Source organism: Homo sapiens, chromosome 10, assembly GCF_000001405.40.
Source record: "Homo sapiens chromosome 10, GRCh38.p14 Primary Assembly".
NCBI lineage: Eukaryota > Metazoa > Chordata > Mammalia > Primates > Hominidae > Homo > Homo sapiens.
In genome coordinates, this window is record NC_000010.11 from 2,168,327 (window position 1) to 2,191,460 (window position 23,134).

At 39.7% G+C, this 23,134-nt stretch overlaps 1 long non-coding RNA gene across 4 annotated transcripts; it reads right to left on the reverse strand.

The window, feature by feature from the left end:
• Positions 1-813: 813 nt before the first annotated feature.
• LINC02662 (long intergenic non-protein coding RNA 2662) lies at positions 814-21,218 on the reverse strand. 4 transcript variants are annotated; one of them, NR_184092.1, is made up of 5 exons: positions 21,136-21,218; positions 19,331-19,606; positions 18,186-18,272; positions 8,017-8,106; positions 814-926 (listed from the first exon to the last, which is right to left on the reverse strand). It is a non-coding gene; the product is annotated as a long intergenic non-protein coding RNA 2662 (long non-coding RNA). The 4 variants fall into 4 exon arrangements; NR_184091.1 differs by lacking the exon at positions 18,186-18,272; NR_184093.1 differs by lacking the exons at positions 814-926; positions 8,017-8,106 and having other exon boundaries at positions 16,881-18,272; positions 21,020-21,218.
• Positions 21,219-23,134: the final 1,916 nt, after the last annotated feature.

Genomic DNA, 23,134 nt, shown 5'->3' on the forward strand with positions numbered 1-23,134 from the left:
ATTACTGGAGTCTCCTGAATGCTGAGATGAATAGACTGGGTGAGCTTTAGGTGCTGCACCTGTCCTTCAAAATGAAACTGAACGGAGGCCCGCAGAGTCTCCCCGGGAAATAGGGACTGAGGATGCGTTCCATCTGGGTTATGCTTTCATCCCTGCAGCCCCTGGTCTGCCCCCCTGTCCTCAGAAACAGCTCAGTCCTTTCGGTGAAATCGGTGAAATCGGTGGTTCTCATCTTCTGTTTCTTGAACACACGTCTTGTTCCCACCCATCGGTTATGGTTGGAGAAGCATTTCAAGAAAACACCTGTTAGGGCTTTTTGTGTGTGTTAAGCCGCTGTGCTGGTGTGCTTTAGAATCATCCGGAAGGTTTGTTAAAACCAGAGTGCTGGGTCTCTTCCCTGGAGTTTCTGAGTGTGCAGGTGTGGAATAGAGCTCAAGATCTGCGTTTCTAACATGTTCTGAGCTGCTGGTCCCAGTACTACGCTCAGCCAACCAGCCCTCCAGACTTATATGCAATGAGCCCTGTGGCTTTACACGGTATCTTGATGAAGAAAATGTTATGTAAATCATGCTCTAAAACAACGATTGGATTTCAGTGCAATTACAGAAAACCTTTTCATCAAGATGTCTATGAATGAAATACTGATTTTAACAGGCTGCCCATTTTCAACAGCATAAAATCACGCATTCAAAACCATGATGAGCCCCTTAAATTTTAGGATTGAGTTTCACTTCCTCACTGACATTTTGTGAAAAATAACACCCGCAAGAGGCCTAAACAGGGCGATCGGAACCAAGAAAACTTAAGGAAGTATTTGCACGTTTTGATGTGTTTATTTATTTGGGATGCGCGGAGGCTCTGAATGGAGAAAGTCGTCGATGCCTGCACTGGTCTTGGCCTGTTCTTTATGTTCCGCGCGGTGACAGCTTTAAGATGAAGGAGGAACATAAAGGGTTTCATCACAGGAAATAGAACTATTGCTTTATTCAAACATTTAAAAAATAAATACAATAAATCAGGGATTTTTCCCCTTTCCGAGTATTAAATACAGATGTACTGTATGCATATGAAATTTTTGATTAAAATGTCTTTCACCAGTCTGTCTCTTTAATTAAATAAAGCCTGTTTGGTATTAATCAAGGCACAAAGAATTTATACCCCAAATCCAGATTAATTAAAAGCCTGGGAGCTTGATGAACAGGCAGTATAAAGACAAAAATAAATCAATCCAAACATGATATTTATGAATATGGACGGTTTGTGAGCAAAATATAAATAATTTAGACAGAATAATATACATCAGTTATAGGATAGGATTATTTTACATTCTAGAATGAGTTCAAATGTAAATTTGAACCCACATTTTGGATTAAGGTTTCTGTTTCTAACATTTATTGTTCATTACTGAGTGATGATAGCTCTTAGTCGTTAATCTCTCACAAATCCTGAAGCTTTTAAGTACCTGCTCAACTGTGCCAGGAAAGGAGTCTAATGTGGCATTTTCTCTCTTTTGTGCAGAGTTTGGTTTAATTTTGCTTCAAATTACTAATATATCCCCCAATGGAGCAGTCTTAGTGCCTTAGCAAGGGTCATGAGGCCCAGTTATACAGAATTTAAAATAGATATGTTTGACTCGTTAGTGGTTTTCAAATATATTCAAATATATATACACATATATATTAGTCCTTAGCTACTTTTTAAAGGACAATGATATCAATATATTTGATCACCTTTAAAACTAAAATATACAATTTCTGCTAATGCACATATAGAAATGGCCTCATGCTGTACATCACCTGATTCTCACTAAAGCTCTGCAAATGAGCAAGGCCAAATTTTGAACTAGGATATTCTGACTATAAATCTAATATTTTCCCTATTAGAGCCATATGTCATATATCTAATCAGGGAAAAATAATCTTATTCAATTGCTGATCTCAATTAGAATGGAGGAAGACCCCTAACTATTTGAAATTCTGTTTCCCTTGGAAAACATTCTGGCTGAGAATAAACTCCCATTAAATTTACATCCTTCACCTCCTCTTTTCCATTCCCTTTTTCCCCTCTGTTTCTTGTCTTCCCCCCTTTTATCCTCACCACCCCCATCTTTCTGCTTATTTCTATTTTTCAGTCATATTTGCAGAGGAGACTAGTGATGCAACCTTGGTATATAAATGGAAATGAGACTTAATAAGGTGGTGATTCTAATCAGCTGGGGACAAGATGGGTTATTCAGAAAAGATTGTGGGTCTCCATTTAGGCAAGAATGGGAGACCTTGCTAAATACAATGTTCAAAATAAATTTCAGGTTCATTAGTTAATACCATAAACACTGTAGAGGAAAATATTAAAGAATATTCTACAACACTGTGCCTTGGAAGGCCTTATTAAGTCAGGTACCCTAGAACAGATGACTCACAGATTTGATCTTGGCCAATAATCACAAACCAATTGCACCCACAAGCACACCTTAACACATGCATATAGCCAACTTTGTGTCAAAAAATACACAGCAACAGGTAGTGCTTGGAAGAGACCCTGACACATGCGGTGTTAGTTATTTTATTGTCATCATGGTCATCATCATTTTTATTACTATAAAAAGGTAGGTGAATTACTTTAAGAGATTTAATGGTATTAGTCTGTTCTCACACCACTAATAAAGAAATACCAGAGACTGGGTAATTTATAAAGGAAAGAGGTTTAATTGACTGACAGTTCCACAGGGCTGGGGCGGCCTCACAATCATGGTGGAAGAGCAAGGGACGTCTTACATGGTTGCAGGCAAGAGAGCCTGTGCAGGGGAACTTCCCTTTATAAAACCATCAGATCTCATGAGACTTATTCATGATCATGAGAACGGCACAGGAAAGACCCACCCCCATGATTCAATTACCTCCCACCGGGTCCCCCCCATGACATGTGGGAATTGTGGGAGCTACAATTCAAGATGAGATTTGGGTGGGGACACAGCCAAACCATATCAAATAATAACATCAAAATCAACTTAATATTTGTAGTACTTTTCACCATTTGTTACTGATGTCCTTACTGATCTCAGTTTTAAAGAGTTCTAAATGATTTAGTCAAACGGTATTACTGTGAAATGTATGGAACTAAACACTTTTCTGTTTAGCTACAGTACAATTTAGCAATATTTGAGATTTTTGAAAAATTATATATCAATAATTATTGTTATGGTATACTAATTACCAATTACTCATAGTTTATAAAAATAATGGATTTGACAACGTGATAATCCTCTCTGTTGAAATGGTTGAAATGATAATAATTGCATGTCCAGATTTAAGCAAAAAGCGTAATCAATGTTGCTAAAAGTTTCTCAAATTCGCATGGCAAAGCCCTCATCAGAATGTTGAAATTGCTTTTCTCCAAAAAATAGCCGAAAACCCTGGAGAAGCCACAGTTTCAATTTAACCCTTGATCAATGACATGCACTAAAACTAATTGGCATGAGATTTACAGCATTTAAAAAGTGAAAAATGTATCATAGCAGGAAAAAAGATTCTGCCCCTTTTTTGTTTGTTAATATGTACAAAACAAGATCCATTGATTGATAGCAATGAGTTTGTAGAAGCATTTGGGGGTTGTATTGGTTTTTATTCCTAATTTTGCTGAATGGCTGTTTTCAGGTTTTCCTTTAGCTTTTAGGGATGTAGTGTTAGAAAGGGGATTTTTGGGGATCATATTGTTTATCTTCTAGTGGGAAAGACTCATCATCAACCAGCTGTAAACAAAAGAAACATTTATCTGGCTTCAGAAAGTGATGAGGATGAGGGAGGAAATTAAACAGAGCAAGAGAAATAGTGATGGTGAGGAGGGAGAAGTTTGCTCTTAAATGAGGCAACCAGGGAAGGCTTCCCAGAAGAGGCAGTTCCTCAAACATAAGCCATCAGGAAGAAAAGCAATATTTTCAGCTTCTCTAAGTCCTTGCATTGTTAACATTTCTGGTTTTTTTCCCCCATGAGCATTTTGGTCAATAACTCTTCACTTCTAAATACTGTTGTTTTGTGTTTTCACTTTTCCTGTAAAATAGACATTTAAAGAATTAACTAATTATAATAGGCTATCTATATAATCACTATGATCTGGTATCATCATTCTGATGGTTTAAAGACTTTTGGAGCAAGACTTTGTGTCTTGTTCTACACCGAATAAAAACTATGCAGTTGCAGGTGCACCCACACAATGCACACATAGTTTCTAATATTGGTGATCCTTCACTTCTGAAACCATATGGAATAAGAACAAAATTACTCCTCTCATAAAAAAGTGTCTAACATATTAAAAGTATTTTTTAAAAGATTTCCAATTTGTAAAGAATGGAAAGGTTTGTGGTTGACCCATGCGCTCTCATTCGATCCTCTGCCCTTTCCCCTCCATAGTTCTCACCTTCCACGTCTCCCGGGAACAGAGCCTGTAACGTTATTCAGCACACCTTCTGTTGAGCAGAGCACCTGACTTCAAGGAATGTACAACGGCTTGCCCTGGCGAAAACCCAATTGTGAGCTGCAAAGGAGGACTATTTGATAGCATTCCCTTCTGTCTGTCTTTGAAGGCTGTTCTCAGTTGAGAACATATTGAAACGTGAATGATAGATACGTTTGTGAGTATTTTTAACACAGCCTTAATACTCACATATGCCATTATTTCTGCAGATAATGTGCGCCATTCCTCACAGCTAGGAAGATCATGAGTGTCATTAACGCTGTTTTTACACACTAAATTGGTCTGTTCCCGGACCCCTATCAAAGATGGGATGCTAAAAATTGTTTATCTCTAGAGACTGGATCAGGAATACAAAAAGGTTCCTGAAATAGGAAAAGCCTTGATTTGCACAGATCAATTTGCTTTATAAATGTTCCTTCTCTCACTCCAGAAGAAAGTAGACGCTTGCACGTTGAACATAAAATCATCTTGGCTCCAACACGATGGAGCAAAAAAGGTTCTGAACTTGCAACGCACATATTTGCAGGTTATAGTAAATCCAGGTTTCCCACCTCAATGACATTTGTTTAGACATCTGCATGTACCAGCTGGTAATGGTTAGTTTACTTCCTATCAATTCTGATTTTGAATTAGGCTTGTTAATAAGGATGGATGGAAAGCAGGTGTGGTAGTCTCTGAGCGGTTATTGGCATGTAATTGCTTCAGGCTATTGTTTTAAGCAGTTTCCATTTGTACATTGTTCCAAAGACAGCTGCCAGTAGCAGCTCAGCGAGGATTGCACAACTATTCCATGTAGGATCCAGTGACAGATCTAAACTAGTCATGAAAATCCTCCAGATCTGGCTTTTAAAACAGAAATGTTAATAGTAAACACAGACATGATAACAGCTGAACTGATGAAAAGGAAAAAAAAAATTGTCTTTTCAGGCATTTGAAGGACGTAGCTCTACATTTGTAGGCCAACTGCTTAGATTAAAAGTCTCAAAGTTTCACTATCTTTTGCAGCAAAATCAAAAGTAAAATGCAGCTGGGCACAGTGGCTGACTCCTGTAATCCCAGCACTTTGGGAGGCCGGGGTGGGTGTATCACTTGAGGTCAGGGGGTCTAGACCAGCCTGGCCAACATAGTGAAACCCTGTCTCTACTAAAAATATTAAAATTAGCCGAGCGTGGTGGCGCATACCTGTAATCCCAGCTCCTCGGGAGGCTGAGGCAGGAAAATCGCTTGAACCCGGGAGGTGGAGGTTGCAGTGAGCCGAGATCATGTCACTGCACTCCAACTTGGGCAACAGAGCAAGACTCTGTCTCAAAAAAAAAAAAAAAAAAAAAAAAAAAAAAAAAAAAAAAAAAAAAAAGAGAGAGAGAGTAAAGCGTAACCAAGATTAAAACGTATCTTAGAACATTGCTTCTGAAATGTTTTTTAAATTATTACAAATTTTAACTCGCTGATGAAACAGTGGTATACCAAGGTCGCCAAGGATCACAACAATCACGTGTTCTTCTAAGTCAACACAAATTAGTAAAATATGTGGAGATGCTGTTAAATGAAATTTTCAACACGAAATTTATGCCTGCTGTATATTATTTGGAAAAAAAAATGTAGCAGGATAATCAGTTTGGGGTTTGTGAACATGTTGAGTATCCAGATATTTTATCACCTGCTTGAAAATAGCACAATGGGCAATAATTGCATTTTAGGCGTTAAAAAGGAATAGGTTGAAGGCTTGGTGCTGTTGCCTTGATTTTCAAGGACAATTTTGAACATGGAGTTATAAGAGAAGGCTTTTCTGAAGTCCCTTTTTGGCTGCAAGGAACCCAGAAGTCAGAGTTAGCTTGCTTTATTCTAGCACCCCTGGCCACAAATGTGTCTCTCTGTTTCCGCCAAGTTAATGTCTTTATTATGGGATTCCAAAACACATCCTAGTGCCTTCAAGGTTATGCTGGTTGAGTTTGAGTGTGAGTTTTAGAAATGAAGGTGTGGAATGAAGGTGTGAGTTTTAGAAATGAAGTTCCTTGGCCAGCAGATCCTATATTTGTCAAGGGCTGTAATAATTGCTTTAAAAACACTGGGAAATGCCAGACTTGCAAGGATGAAGGTGGTCGCAGCTTGGCCAGTCAGAGAGCTGCAGATATGGCACAGATTGGCATCTGTATATACTTCACATCCAAGAGTGCAGTTGACCAGGGTGCTCTGACGCTGGGTGCAGACCACCGACTATCCAAGTATTTGCACCTGTTCTCTGCAACAGGCTACTATATGGGGCGATTTCCAATGCTTAAAAATCACTTCTAGTGTGGTATATTTGCTTCCAATATTATCAAAATATTCAAAGAGTATCTTAAGAAGTACTGTCTGCAGCACTGAGATGTTTGAATTTTTTGATGTTAAATTATTCTGTCACATATATTAACTTATAATTAAAACTATAGGGAAAACATTTTTTAGCAAAAAATATCAAAGCAAAAGTAAATATTCTTTCTTTTTATGAAAGAAACTATATACCAGATTACCATTGGAACTTGCAGGCTATTTCAAACATTCTTGGATGGAATCCTTGAATGCTTATGAGAACCACTGAGGTATGGTGTAGAGAACAGAGGCTGTGCAGGTGCATAGACCTCGATTGGATTTTAGGTGTCATATTCTACATGTTGGACTTTAAATAACTCAATTTGCTTCCCTAAGCCACTATTCCATACTTGTAAAGGTAACATGCATATCAATTTTTGTGAGATGATTTATGAGTTTATTAAAACATGCTGGAAACTTACCTTATATTAGATATTTTGCTAAGCACTTCACGTTTCTCCATGCAATTCATACAAAATCTATGATTCCCATACTATGCTTCCTTTTCATTTAGCAGGTAAGGATCTAGAAAGTGAGGCTTCAAGACATTAGGTGTTTTGCCTAGTCCTGAAGCCAGTCTGCAGATGCCTGTACCGGGTCACCTCACCTGATTGTTAAGACAAGCTGGTAAGCAAAGCACATGCTACCTAATGCCACATGCCACACAGTGTCTGTTCCGTGAAACCTACATATTTACCTTTCAGAAATGGCTATTTCTAATGTATTAGATTGGTACAAAAGTCATTGCAGTTTTTGTCATTAAAAGTAATGGCCGGCTGGGTGTGGTGGCTCACGCCTGTCATCCCAGCACTTTGGGAGGCTGAGGCGGGAGGATCACGAGGTCAGGAGATCGAGACCATCCTGGCTAACACAGTGAAACCCCATCTCTATTAAAAATACAAAAAAAAAAAATAAAAAAATTAGCCAGGCGTGGTGGCAGGTGCCTGTAGTCCCAGCTACTTGGGAGGCTGAGGCAGGAGAATGGTGTGAACCAAGGAGGCAGAGCTTGCAGTGAGCTGAGATCGTGCCACTGCACTCCAGCCTGGGTGACAGAGTGAGACTCTGTGTCAAAAAAGGAAAAAAAAAAAAAAAAAGCCAAAACCGCAATGACTTTTGCACCAATCTATTTCTGCAGACCATTAGTGGCTAGTGAACTAGATTAAGGTGTTTACCAATAAACAAAATAAATAGTATTACCTTCAAACCAGTGTGTAAAAGTTTTGTATGCTTTCTCCATCTTCATCCACGTTTTTCTTATTTGGTACCTTCTAAAAATGCTGCAGGGAGCTAACAGATGATGGAATAAACAAAACACTAATAAACTTGAAGTAACACAATCTTAGGAACAGAGTAAGACATTTCAGTGAATGCTTGAACCTGTGGCTATAATTTGATATTATGTGAACATTATTTCCTCGTATTCTTCAGTATTAAATTGTTGTTAGTTCATGAGGTGACATGAACCCTGTGGAACCCTCAGTATTGGGCAAAATGGCAGGAGTGCCAGTGAATTTGAGTGACAGCTTTCTGACGAGACCACTGAGTCACTGATGTCTGCCTTTCTGATGAGATAAGTTGGGTCAAAGCTGTCCTTACTCAGAACACACTGGTGGTTTTCCTGTTTCTTAGTTTTAAAACTTCAATTTGTGCTACTGAAGAATATGTCAGAATATTTATTCTGCAAAAAGGACATTAAAATTGAATTCACGTTGGGTTTTGGTTAATACAATTTCATCAAAACTCCGCTTTTAGACTGTGGTGAAGTTGGTCTTGGAACTGGATGGGCAGAGACTACAGATGCCATAAAGCAGGGTCCTCGTGGAACCTGCAAATAGCTGCCTCAACCACGCCCTAGCTGTCGGTCGGTCAGCAACGACCCCAGACCTTCTGCTCCGACAGGGGCTCCTCGGGTGCTAGAATTCGGTGAAAGAATTGAGCATGGTACGGATTACAGAGGGCTTGCCAGAGGTCAGCAAGTTCCAAACCTGTCTTTTTAAGGCAGTCCTGAGGCTTTAATGCGATGCTGTATAGAAAACAACTTATGAGTCAGATCTCCACTTCTTCAAAAGATAGTCTTTAAATAGAATTCCCAAATAATTATCTTAGCGACTTGTTTTCTGTCGTTTTGTTGCTATTCAAAGAAAATAATACAGAAACACATTTTCATACTGAAATGAAAGTTTATGATGCATCACATATATTACAAATTACAAAAAAGTTGAAGAAATTAATGATATGTCTTATTTCATAAACTGCCTTTATTCTATGAGTGAAAATGCAATTTCAGGAGAAGTAAGAGTCAGCACGAGCCTTCCTAGTTCTTCGAATGAATCATGTGTAAATATTAATTTTCTAGACTAATGGGCTCAGTTTTCTTCATTCCCCTGGGCTAGTTGACTTCTGAATTGGATCTCTTAAATTTACCATGTCCAAAACTAAAGTATTGATCCCAGGCACCAACTTTCTTCTCCCTAGCTCTCCTGTGTCTTAGGAAATGGCAAAAACGTTGTTGTTCAGAGAATGGCGGAGGTTCATGCCCTTTTTCTCACATACCCTGCTTCAAACATTGGCAAATTGGAGCGTGTCTTGGTCTGTTGAGATGCTAGAACCGAGTATCGCAGACGGGAAGCTACAACAGCAGAGGCCTGTTGTTCACAGCTCTGGAGGCTGGAGGTCCAAGATCAAGATGCAGGCGGATTCAGGGTCCGTGCAGGGCTGGCTTCTTGGTTCATGGATGGCACCTTCTCCCTGTGTCCCTCACATGGCAGAATAGGGGAGAGAACTCTCTGGGGCATCTTTTCATGGAGGCACCAATCCCTTGAGTTTTCTGCAATCACAACCTCATCTAATCCTCGTTACCCCACAAAGTCTCCATCTCCAAAATGCCATCGTATCGGGGATTAGGATTCAACACACAGACTTGGCAGGAAGAAAAGCCTCCGGTCCACCGAGTGCATAGCAGAGCGACTCTGTGGTAAGAAGCCATCCAGATCCCTAACCATTCTCATGACTGCTCCAGGACCACCCAATTCAAACCAGCACCCAGCCTCTCTGACTGCCACACTGTCCTAACCTCTAACCTTATTCCCCAGTCAGTTCTCTCTAGGGTGCTTTTAAAGGCAAGTCAGACTATGTCATTCCTCAGCTCCTAATCTGGAGGTTCCCATCACACGCAGAATAAAAATGAAATACTACAGCCTAAGCGGCAGTGATTCATGAATCTCACCCCAGCCACAATTTAGAATCAGTCTAGGGAAGCCTGTGAAAAATATAGATGCTAATTACCAAGCACGAATGAATTCAATCAGAACCCCGAGTCATGGCACCTGGACACTGATATTTTTAAAAGCTCCTCGGGAGATGCAAATACAGAGCGAAAGATGGAGTCCTCTGCCCTGGGTGATTCACACAAGGTTCCGGCAGTCCCTGCCCTCTGCTTTTCTTCCCACTTCTCCTTCCTTCCTTCCTTCCCTCCTTCCTTCCTTCCTTCCCTCCTTCCTTCCCTCCCTCCCTTCGCTTCCTCCTTCCTTCAATCCTCCTTTCCTCTCTTCTTCTCTCCTTCCTTCCTTTCTCCATCCCTCCCTCCCTCCCTTCCTCCTTTCCTTCCTCTTTTCCTCCCTCTCTTCCTCCCCTTCCCTCCCTCCCTTCCTTCTTTCCTTCCTTCCTCCCTCCTTCCCTTTCCTTCCTTCCTTCCTTCCCTCCCTCACCTTCCTCCTTCCTTCAATCCTCCCTTCCTTCCTTTCCTTCCTTCCTTCCTTTCCTTCCTTCCTTCCTTTCCTTCCTCCCTCCCCTCCCCTCCCTTTCCCCTTCCTTCCTTCCTTCCTTCCTTCCTTCCTTCCTTCCTTCCTTCACCTTAACACAAAGCAAAACATGCTTACTCTCTATGTCTTTCCTCTGCCTGGGATACTCTTGCCCCACAAGTCTTCATATTTTGCTCACAATCTCTATTTTTACCAAGATTTTATCAGTGAGTGTTCCTTATCCATCACACACACAAAAATTGAATTTTTTGCACCGATTGTCTATCTCCTTGCCATAGTATATCTTTCTTTTAAGAAATCATTACCGTTAGAAACTCTATAAATATTCCTCTATGTGATTGATTTCTGTCACTGTCTGCTGGAATGTAAACTCCAGTAGAAGCAGGAACCTTGTCAATGCTGTTCACTGTTCTATGCTGAGAGCTTAGAAAAAGGCCTGGCATGTTATAAGAGCTCATGATAATTTATTTAATGAATGGACTAATTCCAGGAGCCTCAGAGCAGAGCACAGAGCAATTCCTGGGCTCCAAAAGCTTTTGTGCAAATTAGGAAATGGGGCCATTTTGGGGATGAAAGTCCCAGAGCTTGACACACTGGTTGTGTGCTCAATTTGTTTTCCTCTCATATAATTTGTTATTAACTTTTATTTATATTTTTAGGGTTTCAAACATAGACAGAAAGTCTGAGAATACCAAAAGGAACTAGAGCATGTATTTTACCCAAATCCATCAATTTTTATCTTTTTCCTCACTTGTTCTCTCTCCATCTCTGCTCTATCTATCTATCTCTGTCTCTCCCCTCTCATCATACACACACACACGTGACTGATATATTTGATTTTATATATATATATATATATATGATTTTTTGTCTGAGTTATTTGATATGAAGTTGGAGGCATGCTTCCTCTTTATTCCATTAATAAAATAAAAGATACTCTCTTTTATTACCCAAAGCATCATCAAAATAAAGCATGTTCACTTCGATTGAATATTATTATGTAAATCACAGCTCCTTATCACGCCCCACTCATGGTCCCAGTACCACACTTTATGGAAAGTTTTCCTGGTTTGTGGTGCTCTCTGGCTCAGGCTGGTGTGGCCCTGCTTCCTCTCCTCCTTTCTCTTTTTGGGCTGTGACCCGTTTGGAGTGCATGTGTGACTTTATAAGACATTCCTCCATTTGGGTTTGCCTGGTGTTGCTTTACAATCGGATATTTTTGGCAGAAAGTCTGCTGTCGTGGGGTGAACCCCTTAGTCTCCTGCTCAGGGGGTGTTCATGGCTGGAGGCCCCCACCCTGGTGATGTGGACTTCAGATATCTGATCGTGCCATTGTCTGCCAGGCTTCTCCACTGGAAACTCGCTCTTCTTGTATCTTGAAATCCATGCATAATCCATGGGAAGATACACTAAGACTGCAATAGCTATGGTCAAAGTGCACCTCTCAGCCTTTGGGCCTCCCTAAAGTAGACGAGGGTCGTCCACTTTCGCACCCACCTGGACTTGGCGTGTTGAGTACCCACCGTGATGTGGTGGAGATGCAACTGGCAGCAGAGGCCGAGAGCTTTGAGAAGGAGTTTAGAATTGAAAACTAATCAATGCAGAAGCTGGAGCAGCCCACTTAACTCTTCTGTGTCTCCTCGTTTATCATCTGTCAAAGAGTTCATGGGCAATAATCTAAGGTGTTCATTTGAAAATAAAATCGATGATGTTCAAAAACAATGCAACCAAAAATAACACTCTGAAAGTGTTCCTACTATGAAACACCTCAAAGTGTCAGATAAAAGATTTTTTAAAGTCTGTCAAGTACAATCCTCAACTTGGACTGAACAGGGAAGTTCCCAAGGGCAAGAATCTCACAGGAAGCAAAGACAGAACACAATTTTTGGCACTTTGCCACCTTGGGGCATTGGCTGCTCTTGGTGTCTTAGAGGTCTGGCTTTCAACCTACAGAAAGAGCACACAGGAAAAGACACAGAGATGGTACAAGTGTGGAATGAAAGTGAGACCCAAAATACAGCCAAGGTCACAGTGAAAACCTCCTCGAGAAAGGGCCGGTGGGCCTGTTCCGCCCAGACAGAACAGAAACATCTCTGGGTTCTGCATGTAAGAATGTTTTTTTTCTCAACTTCAAATAAACAAACAAAAGACCCCCAAAAACTGTCTCAAGGGTTTCAAAGTCAAATTTTACTGATGTTTTTGGTTCAGAAAAGCTCAAGTAGAGACATGAGGTTGACTCTGGGTCTACGATGCCCCTAGGCTCACATCATGGAAGTCAATTCATATTCTCCCCAGGACGATGGATCTCTCCAGGCCACTTAAGCTTCTGACTCCAGGGAGCCAGCCACCAAGATTAAAAAAAGAAATCAAGATCAGCAGAAACAAGTGCAGCCCTGTAGTTCAGATAAATGAATTATCAGAAAATATTATAAAACGCATTTAAAACAGAAAATAACATGCAAGAGGAACTAAAATTATTGGGGGAAAACAAGCAAGACTGTATTAAAGTAAATGGCTGGACTAAGAAAAACATAACCAAATATGACTGTTAAGCACAAAACTAAGATGTCTTTGATAGAAAAAATAGAAGAGATCTGGCTATCCCTCTACGTGGCAGACTAGAAATCCTGAAGGTCCTGGCTGCAGGAGATCTAAATTAATTCAAATAATGTGAAAGCCATCTCTTAGACACAGAGGCCTCTGACAAACTGAGCAGAATTTTTTAGATCCAGCAATAAGGCATAGCCTCAGATCCCACGAGGAAGGCACATTGATGCTGTCTACACTCTGCAATGTCAGCTTCAGAGCCAAGACAAAGGTGCACTGATGCTGTCTACACTCTGGAGTGTCAGCCTCAGAACCCAAGAGTAAGATGCATTGATGCTGTCTACACTCTCGAGTGTCCGAGCAGCTGGATAGCCAGAGCTCCAAAGGCTGCTTTTCGTGTGATGCCCGTCCCAGTCATGGAGCAGATTCCAGGGGGCAGATTCCGGCCACAGTAACGGGAATGCTCTCAGGAGCTCTTTTCTAAAAGCGAGTCATCTGTCTATATCTATTCCTGGAATTCTGTTTGTCGGTGAAAGCCTTGGAGGTCGAGTCTTTGCTACTCGCATGCTTAGAGACGCAATGTTTCCACCTCACCTTTTCCTTCTGAAGTGGCTTCATGCACACACGCTGGGTCTCCCAGTCATTGGAGCTGTCTACGGAAGGTGTTGCCTGTAAATGCTGCTATGGGGTTTTCTCCACTTGGGCCTGATTTATAACTTGGCCTCCTCATTACGTAATATAATGTACTTTTAAATATCCTACAGTTACATATGTAGGTGGAGGTCTGTTCTCTTGCTATAAAGGAAAACTTTGCTCAGACGTTATAAGGGGAGCCCAGCATGGTGGATCGTGCCTGTAATCCCAGCACTTTAGAAGGCTGAAGCAGGGGAATTGCTTGAGGCCAGGAGTTCAAGACTAGCATGGGCAACAAAGTGAGATGCCATCTCTATACAAAAATAATAACAAAAGAATTAGCTGGGGGTAGTGGCACACACCTGTAGTCCTAGCTACCTGGGAAGCTAATGCAGAAGGATGCCTTAAGCCCAGGAGGCTGAAGCTGCAGTGAGCCATGATTATGCCACTGCACTCTAGCCTGTGAGACAGAGTGAGACTCTGTCTCAAAAAAAAAAAAAAAAAAGCTATAAAAATTAAATTAGAATGCACTCCTAAATCCCAGTAATTATGCCTATCATACGTCATATTTTTGAGTAGTGTTAAATAAAGGGAGGTCTCCTGATACTAGTTCTACATAAAAACAAAGCAAAATGATGAAAAGTAAATGTCGTGTCACAGCTTCCTAGGTTCTAGGGATATGAAACTTCCTGCTGCCCTACGATGACGTCTCCGCTTACATACAAGTGCTCCTTGTCTGGAATGAGCCACTTAGAGCTTGTTCTCAGAGACGTTGTAGGAGACCAGTTCTTTGTCATTTGACCCTTTTGGGCCTTTGAGTCAATTCCAAGGATTCGTTGCATTTATTTGATTCCCTTTAGCAAAAACATCAGACTAAAATAAAAGCATTTTATCAAATCAAACTTTCTGAATCACAGTGAAAGAGATTTTCAAATCACTAAATTTGGCTAAGGGCCCCCCCCCTCCAAAAAGAATTAACTTACAACAATCATTAATATGGCATAGAAAATAGAGTTTTAGAATTGTAGGCTGTGATATTCTTCTTCATATTACTGTGATAATGGATTTGTGATGCTATGCCCTTCTCAGAGCCTGGAGAAACTTATGGCACAAAGAATGAAACTTATTGAGTAAAAATTAAAAGCAAATAATGTATGAGGTTGAGAAAACCCTTGAAAGAATGTAGATGGGGACAAAACCTTCTACAACTGTACATTACAAACAACCTCACTGGAAGGGGACAGAGGTGCTGACCTAAAGACATTGAAAATGAGTAGATTCTGAAGACTGAAGGCAAAGGGAACTGCACACAAGCACTGTGCTCTGATTGATAAAGAGGTTTCCCACAGGGGTGCCAGCCAACACACTAAAACCACATTGCGTGTGCATGGGAGGGAAGTAATTAATGAATGGATGGTGGGTGATGGGCATGGGAGGGAGGTAATTAATGAATGGATGGCGGGTGATGAGAGCAGGTTTCCAGCTGAAGAGTGGGAGCTCACAGACAAAGGCACGAGCATAGTGCATGGGGCAATGGAATGGAGTGGGGACAGCAGGAGTCTCATATTTTCTTTGATACATGTAAAATATTTGGAGGTATTTATAGGTACATGGATTAGAACACACACATACATTTACTTGTTCTGCAGGATGAGAATGCTCCAGTAACAAGGAGCACAACTGGAACGCTGATCATGAATTTTTTTTAACACATTTCTCTTTTTTTATTTTTTCAAGACTCTGTTGCTTAGGATGGAGTGCAGGGGTGCAATCTTGGCTCACTGCAACCTCCGTCTTCCAAGTAGCTCAGCCCACAGATGTGCACCACCACACCAGGCTAATTTTGGTATTTTTAGTAGAGACAGGGTCTTGCCATGTTGGCCAGGCTGATCTTGAACTCCTGGCCTCAAGTGATCCACCTGCCTTGGCCTCCCAAAGTGCTGGGATTATAGGCATGAGCCACTGCGCCCAGCCATAATCATGGATTTGAATACTGTTCTCCAATAAAAGAAACCAGGATCCTTCGAGAAGTGGCTGACCCTAGGACTGGGGCAGGGAACAAACCACATGAGCCTGGCACAACTTGTAGTGCCAAAAAGTAGTGTGAAGCCCCCAAAACAAAACAAAACAAAAAAATTCCCAGACACAAAACAACAATGAGATTATATCAAAGGGACATAGGCCCCGGTCATAAAAGCTCTCAGTGGTCAAATCTGGAAAATTTGAACAACAAAATAAATAAAATAGTATTGGAATATAACCCAAAGTCTAACATCAGTATTCACAAGTCCACAGTGATATACATAAATGATTGACCATATAAATAAATAAACAAGATCAACTTATAGGTCTCTATTTATTGATTGAAAAATAAGTCTCCCATACAAAATAATTCTAAGTAGTTCCCAAAGATATTTCACCCTCAAGGAGGCAGAGGACAACTCTCCATTCCTGAAGTGTGAGATTCTCACATCAACTTTCTTTTAAAGAGCAAAAGGTGGACAAGGAGAAAGAGAAACAAAAAGAACCACTTTAAGTGGAGAAATGTGACAAACACAACCCGAGGCCAGGATCAAGATAAACCCCAACAACACTAAGTCGCCTTGGTGTGCCCTTGATGTGCCATGATGAGAACAGCGCTTTGCCTCTGTGGTCTTCCTCCCAAATGTCTTTAGCTCCTGCCTAATTATGAGAAAGACATCAGAAAAGCTCCATTTGAGTGACAATCCACCAAGCACCTGACCAGTCTCCCTTGAAACTGTCAACGTCATCGAAAGCAAGGAAAGTCTGAGAATCTGTGATAGCCAAGAACAGCCTCAGAAACATGACAGCTCAAAGTCACCCAGTGTCCTTCATGGGATCCCGAGACAGAGAGGTGACATGGGGGACAAAAATGAGGAAACAAGAATACAATATGAGCTTTAGTAAAGATGAACACATCCATATTGGTTCCCTTGTGCAAATATACCCTAAAAACACACTGTCAATAACACAAACTGGATACAGAGTGCATGGGAACCCTCTGGAGTATCTTAAACATTTTCTATGAATTGAAAACTATTCTAAAATTAAAGGTTACTGAAAAACATGGGTCATATAAATTCATAGTAGACAGAGAACTTTTTTTAAATAATTTCAACTTTTATTTTATATTCAGAGGGTACATGTGCAGGTTGTTACATGGGTATATTGTGTGATGCTGAGAGTTGGGGTGCAACCCCAGGTAGAGAGTATAGTGCCCAATAACTAGTTTTGTTTTTTTATATATATATACTTTAAGTTCTAGGGTACATGTGTACAACGTGCAGGTTTGTTACACGTGTATACATGTGCCATGTTGGTGTGGACAGAGCACATTTTTGTATAAACAAACCTGAGTCAGACCATGTCTTATGAATTAACCCATACTGCACATTAAAAACTTTACTGGGTATGCTGGGATCATTAATTCATGACAGGTCACCACAGAGAAGAAATTCCCTTGTCCTATACAGATGATCAGGTAGAAAAACACAAAAATGTCAGGGTGGCAGCAACATATTTGGTTTCCCTGATGGAGCTGTATCTGAACAGTCAATCCCAGGCAGCAATAACCAACACTCCAAGATATTTCTTATGCTGCACTTTGAGTCCCAGAGAAAGACTGAATGCCTTTGAGGGATGAAAACCTAACACACGGGCACACAGCAGAAGATGAAGGATGACAGCCCAACCTCGGAGCACGATGGGTCTTCAGAATGACTCCCTCCCGACGCCGGGTGAAGCAGAGTCAATTACTTTTATAATTGCTGCCCCACTAATGCCGATGTCCTAATGAGATCAAAACCATTACACTTTCCTTTCATCTGTTCCCGCATTCTCGGAAGTGGGGGGTAAGAGGTATTTGTTTGCCATAAGAAACTCTTAGCAAATTAAAAGGATCTTGATAATGAGATAAATAAAAGCTTCTCCTAAATGCAGGCGGCTGTGGTTTGCTTTTTTCCATTTACGTTCCATTGGAAGGGAGAGAAGCCTGGTTGTTCATATTTTGTCTACAAGGATTGAGGAACCCCTCTGCCATTTCAGGTCACTGTTTTTCTGGAAGTCTGATGGAAATAAAGGATTGAGTCTCTCAAATTCAAAGCAGTTTGACCTTCTCTTCTGTGGAATTGGTGTGCCACATTTAAAGACCAGGACCAGCCCAGTGGCAAATATGTGCATTTAGCAGGCTCCTCTGTTTTAGCTATGTGTTCTATGTGCAATGGAGTTTACAACGTGAAATGATGAGCTATGTAGATTTCAGCAAATTATGAGCAGGTAGTTTCTGGCTGGATGCCATCAAAGTTTTTTTTAAAAAGGGTATGATTCTTTTAACTAACATGTTGCATTTGGGGGAAGTTGATTTTATGCTTTAAAGCAGAATGAATTATTCTCACTTACAAATACCTTCAAAATCATCCAGGGGTATTTAAAGTATTGTTTCAGAGTTCATCTTGACTTGATCCACAACTGATTTTGAACGCTGCTTCAAAACTGAAATGCAGAAAGGAAGTAGGAAAGACTGCCTGTCATTTCAGATTATTTTCTGTAAAAATGCTAATTAAAGCAGTGGGTCAGATCTTGCAATGTCAAAGAGATGTGCCATTTCCTTTCCTTGGAAACAATAATGTACTCCTGGCTGCTACGTAAGTACAAATCTGACAACTGCCAGGAAAGGGCAGAAAAACCACATGCTTACAAGATCCCACTTGCTTGGTATTAGGATGAAAACCAGGGGAGAATACACCTGTTACTGATGAGAGTGGCTCCACTGCAGTGGCCTCGAATGCTGTTCAATGCTGAGTAGCTCAGGACCTGCCCAGGATTCACATAATCCCTGTGAACCTTATTCACTATTCGGTCGTAGGCGGGAGAAGTGTACATCCCGAAAGAACAACGTAATTTGCGTTCACATTTTTTCCTATGGTAAAACATAAATTTCCCACCAATCTCATATTGCATTTTTTGTTTCCATTTCCAATCATGTTTTCCCACAATTAGTAGATATTAATAGGATTGTGGTTGTATATTAATGATACCCTGTTTTTTTGAATGGTGATAATATTCACCATTCAAATTCACCATTGAATTGGTGATTTTTTTTCTCCTTGAATTGTTCTCTAATATATCCAAAAGGGCATTTTTCTCATTGATCTTTAAGATGTTTGCTTACATATTTTCAGAACTATAAGCATAGAACCATCATGAAACTTATAATATTTATGAGAAATCTGCCTTTCTTACTATTTTCTTTCTTACATCCTATGAATTTTTATGGTCTGATATTCCATTTGTTCAAACTGAATTTATTTTGATAACTACAAATTACTAAAACCTAATTTTCAGTAATAAGTTATTTCACAAATATGTATTAGTTACACATTAGGGATAGTTGTGCACTTGGAAGAAGACATGATTCGTCTGAATTGGCTTTAACGACTGAGCCGTCAATGGTCCATTTTCTATGAGAATAATCCTGTTGCTGGCTCATTTTGCGGGCATTGAGAGCTTGGGCTTTGTGATAGAATGAGCTAAAGGCAGGAATAACTTACAGCAGAATGTAACCGACCAGGGCACCAGACTGGGTGTGGGCTCTGCCAGCCTCCCTGGCAAGTGGGCTGGGTTTTGCGCTCCCTCGTGTCGTTGGTGGCCACAGTTTCAAATCTGCTTCCTGTTTTCTCCTTAGGTGATTTCTCTGTTTACTCGTGTTCCTCACACCTTAGAAGGAATTTGCTTGTTTTTGTTTTCTTCTCTTTCATTTACAAGTAGGAGTACTGATCTTACTCTCCTCTTACAGAGCTTGCATGATGATGCCGCACACTGAAATGCTGAAATTCAGGAATGTTTTTTAATATGATGTCAAATAAATAGATATGAAAATACAGGCGGGAGTGGGTATGAACATCTTCAAGTCATTTCTAGATGTTTACTTTGGTCTTGGCTTGTGAGTGTGCCCTTCTGCACATTTCAAAAGAGTCCAAAACTTTTGTAAGTTTTAGCGTAAATACCAGATCCCAATGATTTTGTGCATATCTGTAATACAATACTTCAAAATACATTATCATTAATTGTCTATAAATATATCTTTCTTACTATAGTGCCCTCCTTAAAGGTACTCCTACTTCGTATGTATGTATGTATGTATGTATGTATGTATGTATTCCATAGCCCAGCACCTTGCAACATAGCTGATAATCAACACATTAAATGTTGCTCAGTTGGGGATTGTCTTAGAAAGCACTCTGGAAGAGATAAAATACACTGCTTATTTCACATCATTAATAAATATGTTCACTCTGCTTAACACATTGTTTTGATTGTAGATATGGTTTTCCATGGATTCAACACTGTGGATATTAACTGGATTTCTAACATTTTCAAAAGACTTTTGATTATTAAAAATATTGTTTATGCAATTTGGTGAACTTTTCTCACGCCCACAGGCCATGACTAATTGTACATTTTAAAACAATGACCAAGAGAAGTGGAAGATGCCTGGGAGCAGAAGATGAGTACTTCGTGCACACGGTTCCTGCCACCAGCTCCCAAAGACTTGACCACAAATTTAATAGTGTTTTTTAATTTTTATCTCATACACGCAAACATGCACACAAGTGACAAGTCATGCAGAAAGTCAACCAACTCTAATTAACCATAATTTTATGATAAAGAAACGTAAAGTAAAATAAACATAATAGAAACGAATTAATCAAGAAAAAGGACATCCATAATATTCCAGCAAGACTTTCTGTAAAATCAACAGTATCTCAAAATACTATACAAAATGGTGAATGATTTCCAAACAATTAAATTTCTAAAATGATAATTAGTCTCCCCTTTAGTCTAAAAGATTTTCATTTATGTATAGATCATTCTTCTGTACAGTGCTGTTCTGACACTATGCCATTCCTGCACTCAACACCATCTTTGCAACAGGAATATCAGCCTTATTTTTAATGACGTCCTTACATATTTCCCATGCCCCAGTCATCCTGGGACATGGTCCATAGGTTCTCTATATCCATGTATTTATTCAGCTTTTTTTCTCTGCCTGAAAGTTTTAATCCTGACCACTTTCTCCCTTTCATTTTGTAAAAAGTAAAGTAGAGGTTCCTCTTCAAAGACTTTCCTCCCCATCTAATTAGGAATAAATAGTAACTTCTCTTAGAAGCAAAATTTATTCAAACACCTGTGCTGACATTCTTAAATATCTGCTAGCTGTAATAAAGAAATCAATGTACTTTATGTTCTTAGTTTCCAAAATGTAGCCCAAATATTTGCCCTGGCATGCTTATACTGGTCCAAGCAAGCATTAGGTCATAGCCTGTTCCTCTTCCTTATTTGAAGGTGTTTTTACCTTTCTCAGCATTCCACCAGTTACTTCCTCCTTCCTTTGTTCTCCTCTGCCTTTGCCTCCTTTAAAAGTTCTAAGCTGCTAGCCAATCGGGACAAATACAGAATGTGAGGTCCCATTCCAGCCAATGGAAACCCGACACAGCAGTAGGGTGGCTGCGTCAGGTTATAAATGACCCTGTCTCCTTTGTTTGGTGTACTCTCGTGGCAAAACTGCTGGTGAGTGTTCCCTTCCTGCAGAAAGTATAAAAATGGGCTTGCTGAGGAAGTTAAATTTATGTACAAGTGCTATTTCTTTACGGCACCGGGGAACAAGCATTTCAAACAATTTTCATCTATATTCTTCCAGAACAACATTTATCCATCAAGATTGCCTTAAATACCGCTGCAACATTTCCTTTTATAAAGCTATCTTGAAAAATTCTCTATATGATCTGTTCTTTCTTGGGTCACCTATCTTCATATGGTTTCTCATATGCTTCCCACATCCAGTATTTTCCTTGACCTTTTCTAATGAAGCATTAATGTTTGAATGAGTTATATATCCACATGTTCAAAATATAAAAGATACAAATAAATATGCACTGAAAATCCTCATGAGAACACATGCCCCCTGCCAGAAAGTCTCTTCTCCAGATAAAATTGATGTTTTTAATGACCTCATATTCTTCCACATGCTTTGTACTTTATGCACATCTAACAAAACATGAAAAGTTAGTATTTCTCTTGTGTCTTTACACAAATGGTAGCATATTATACTTTAACTTTGCTTTTGGTTCATTTAACAATGCACATCAGAAAATGTTCTATGTTGGCTAGGCACAGTGGCTCAGTCCTGTAATCTCATCATTTTGGGATGCCGAGGTGCGGGGGAGGGTCACCTGATGTCAGGCGGGGTAGAGGGCACCTGTAATCCCAGCTACTCAGGAGGCTGAGGCAGGAGAATCACTTGAACATGGGAGGTGGAGGTTGCAGTGAGCCGCGATCATGCCACTGCACTCCAGCCTGGGTGACAGAGTGAGACTCTATCTCAAAAAATAAAGAAAAAAAAAAGAAGAAGGAAGAAAAAGAAAAAAAAAGTTCTGTGTTGATAACTTTTTTCTTCATATTTTTGCCACTGAAGAATGTTGTAGCTGTCTGCCTGCCTACAACTATCTATCTATCTATCTATCATCTATCTACCTATCTCTATCAGTCATCTATCTATCCATCTATCTATGAATTCATCCATACTTCAATTTAACCATCCATCTATTCATCCATCCGTTTATCTCATCTCTCTTTCTATTACCTATTTATTTCTTTATTAGTCTCTTGATTGTCTGCATTTGTTTTATTTCCAATATTTTTCTAGCACAATGTTGCAATGAAAATTCTTCTATAAAAATATTTCCATGTAGATGATTGATATATGTGTAAATATATAAGACAAATGCTTAGAAGTCAAGTTGCTGGTTCAAATGGTATTTTCATTTTTCATTAATTTGTTTTTTATTAAATTTAAATAAAATGTGTATATGGTGAAAAATTCAAAAGAAATAAGATAAAATAGTGAAAATATAAATCTAATTTATAAAGTATTTCTTCAGCCATCTAATTTTGCTTTGTAATACAATTAATGCTAACAGATTATCCTATCCTGTCATAAATATTGTATGCATATATAAACGTATATATCTATAAGAGAGTTTATTTTATCTGAACATCCCTTTGTTTTCTTCTATATTCTACAGAGATCAGAATGTTTTTGCCACAAAGTTGATTCAGAAATAACCCCAAGTTTCATGGTAAGCACTGAAATTCATAGGCATCCAACAGAAGAATTCTGAGATTGAAATAATGGTCCTATTTGTTTTCATCATGACTCTCAGTTGTCTTGGGAGGAAGCACAGTTAGGATACAGGTTTCTGCACTGTTCGTGGCCAACAATTTCCATACTTATTCCAGTTTGGACTGGTCGCCCACTGCCTGCTGCCTATGGTAGCCATTTTCAAATCCCCTGC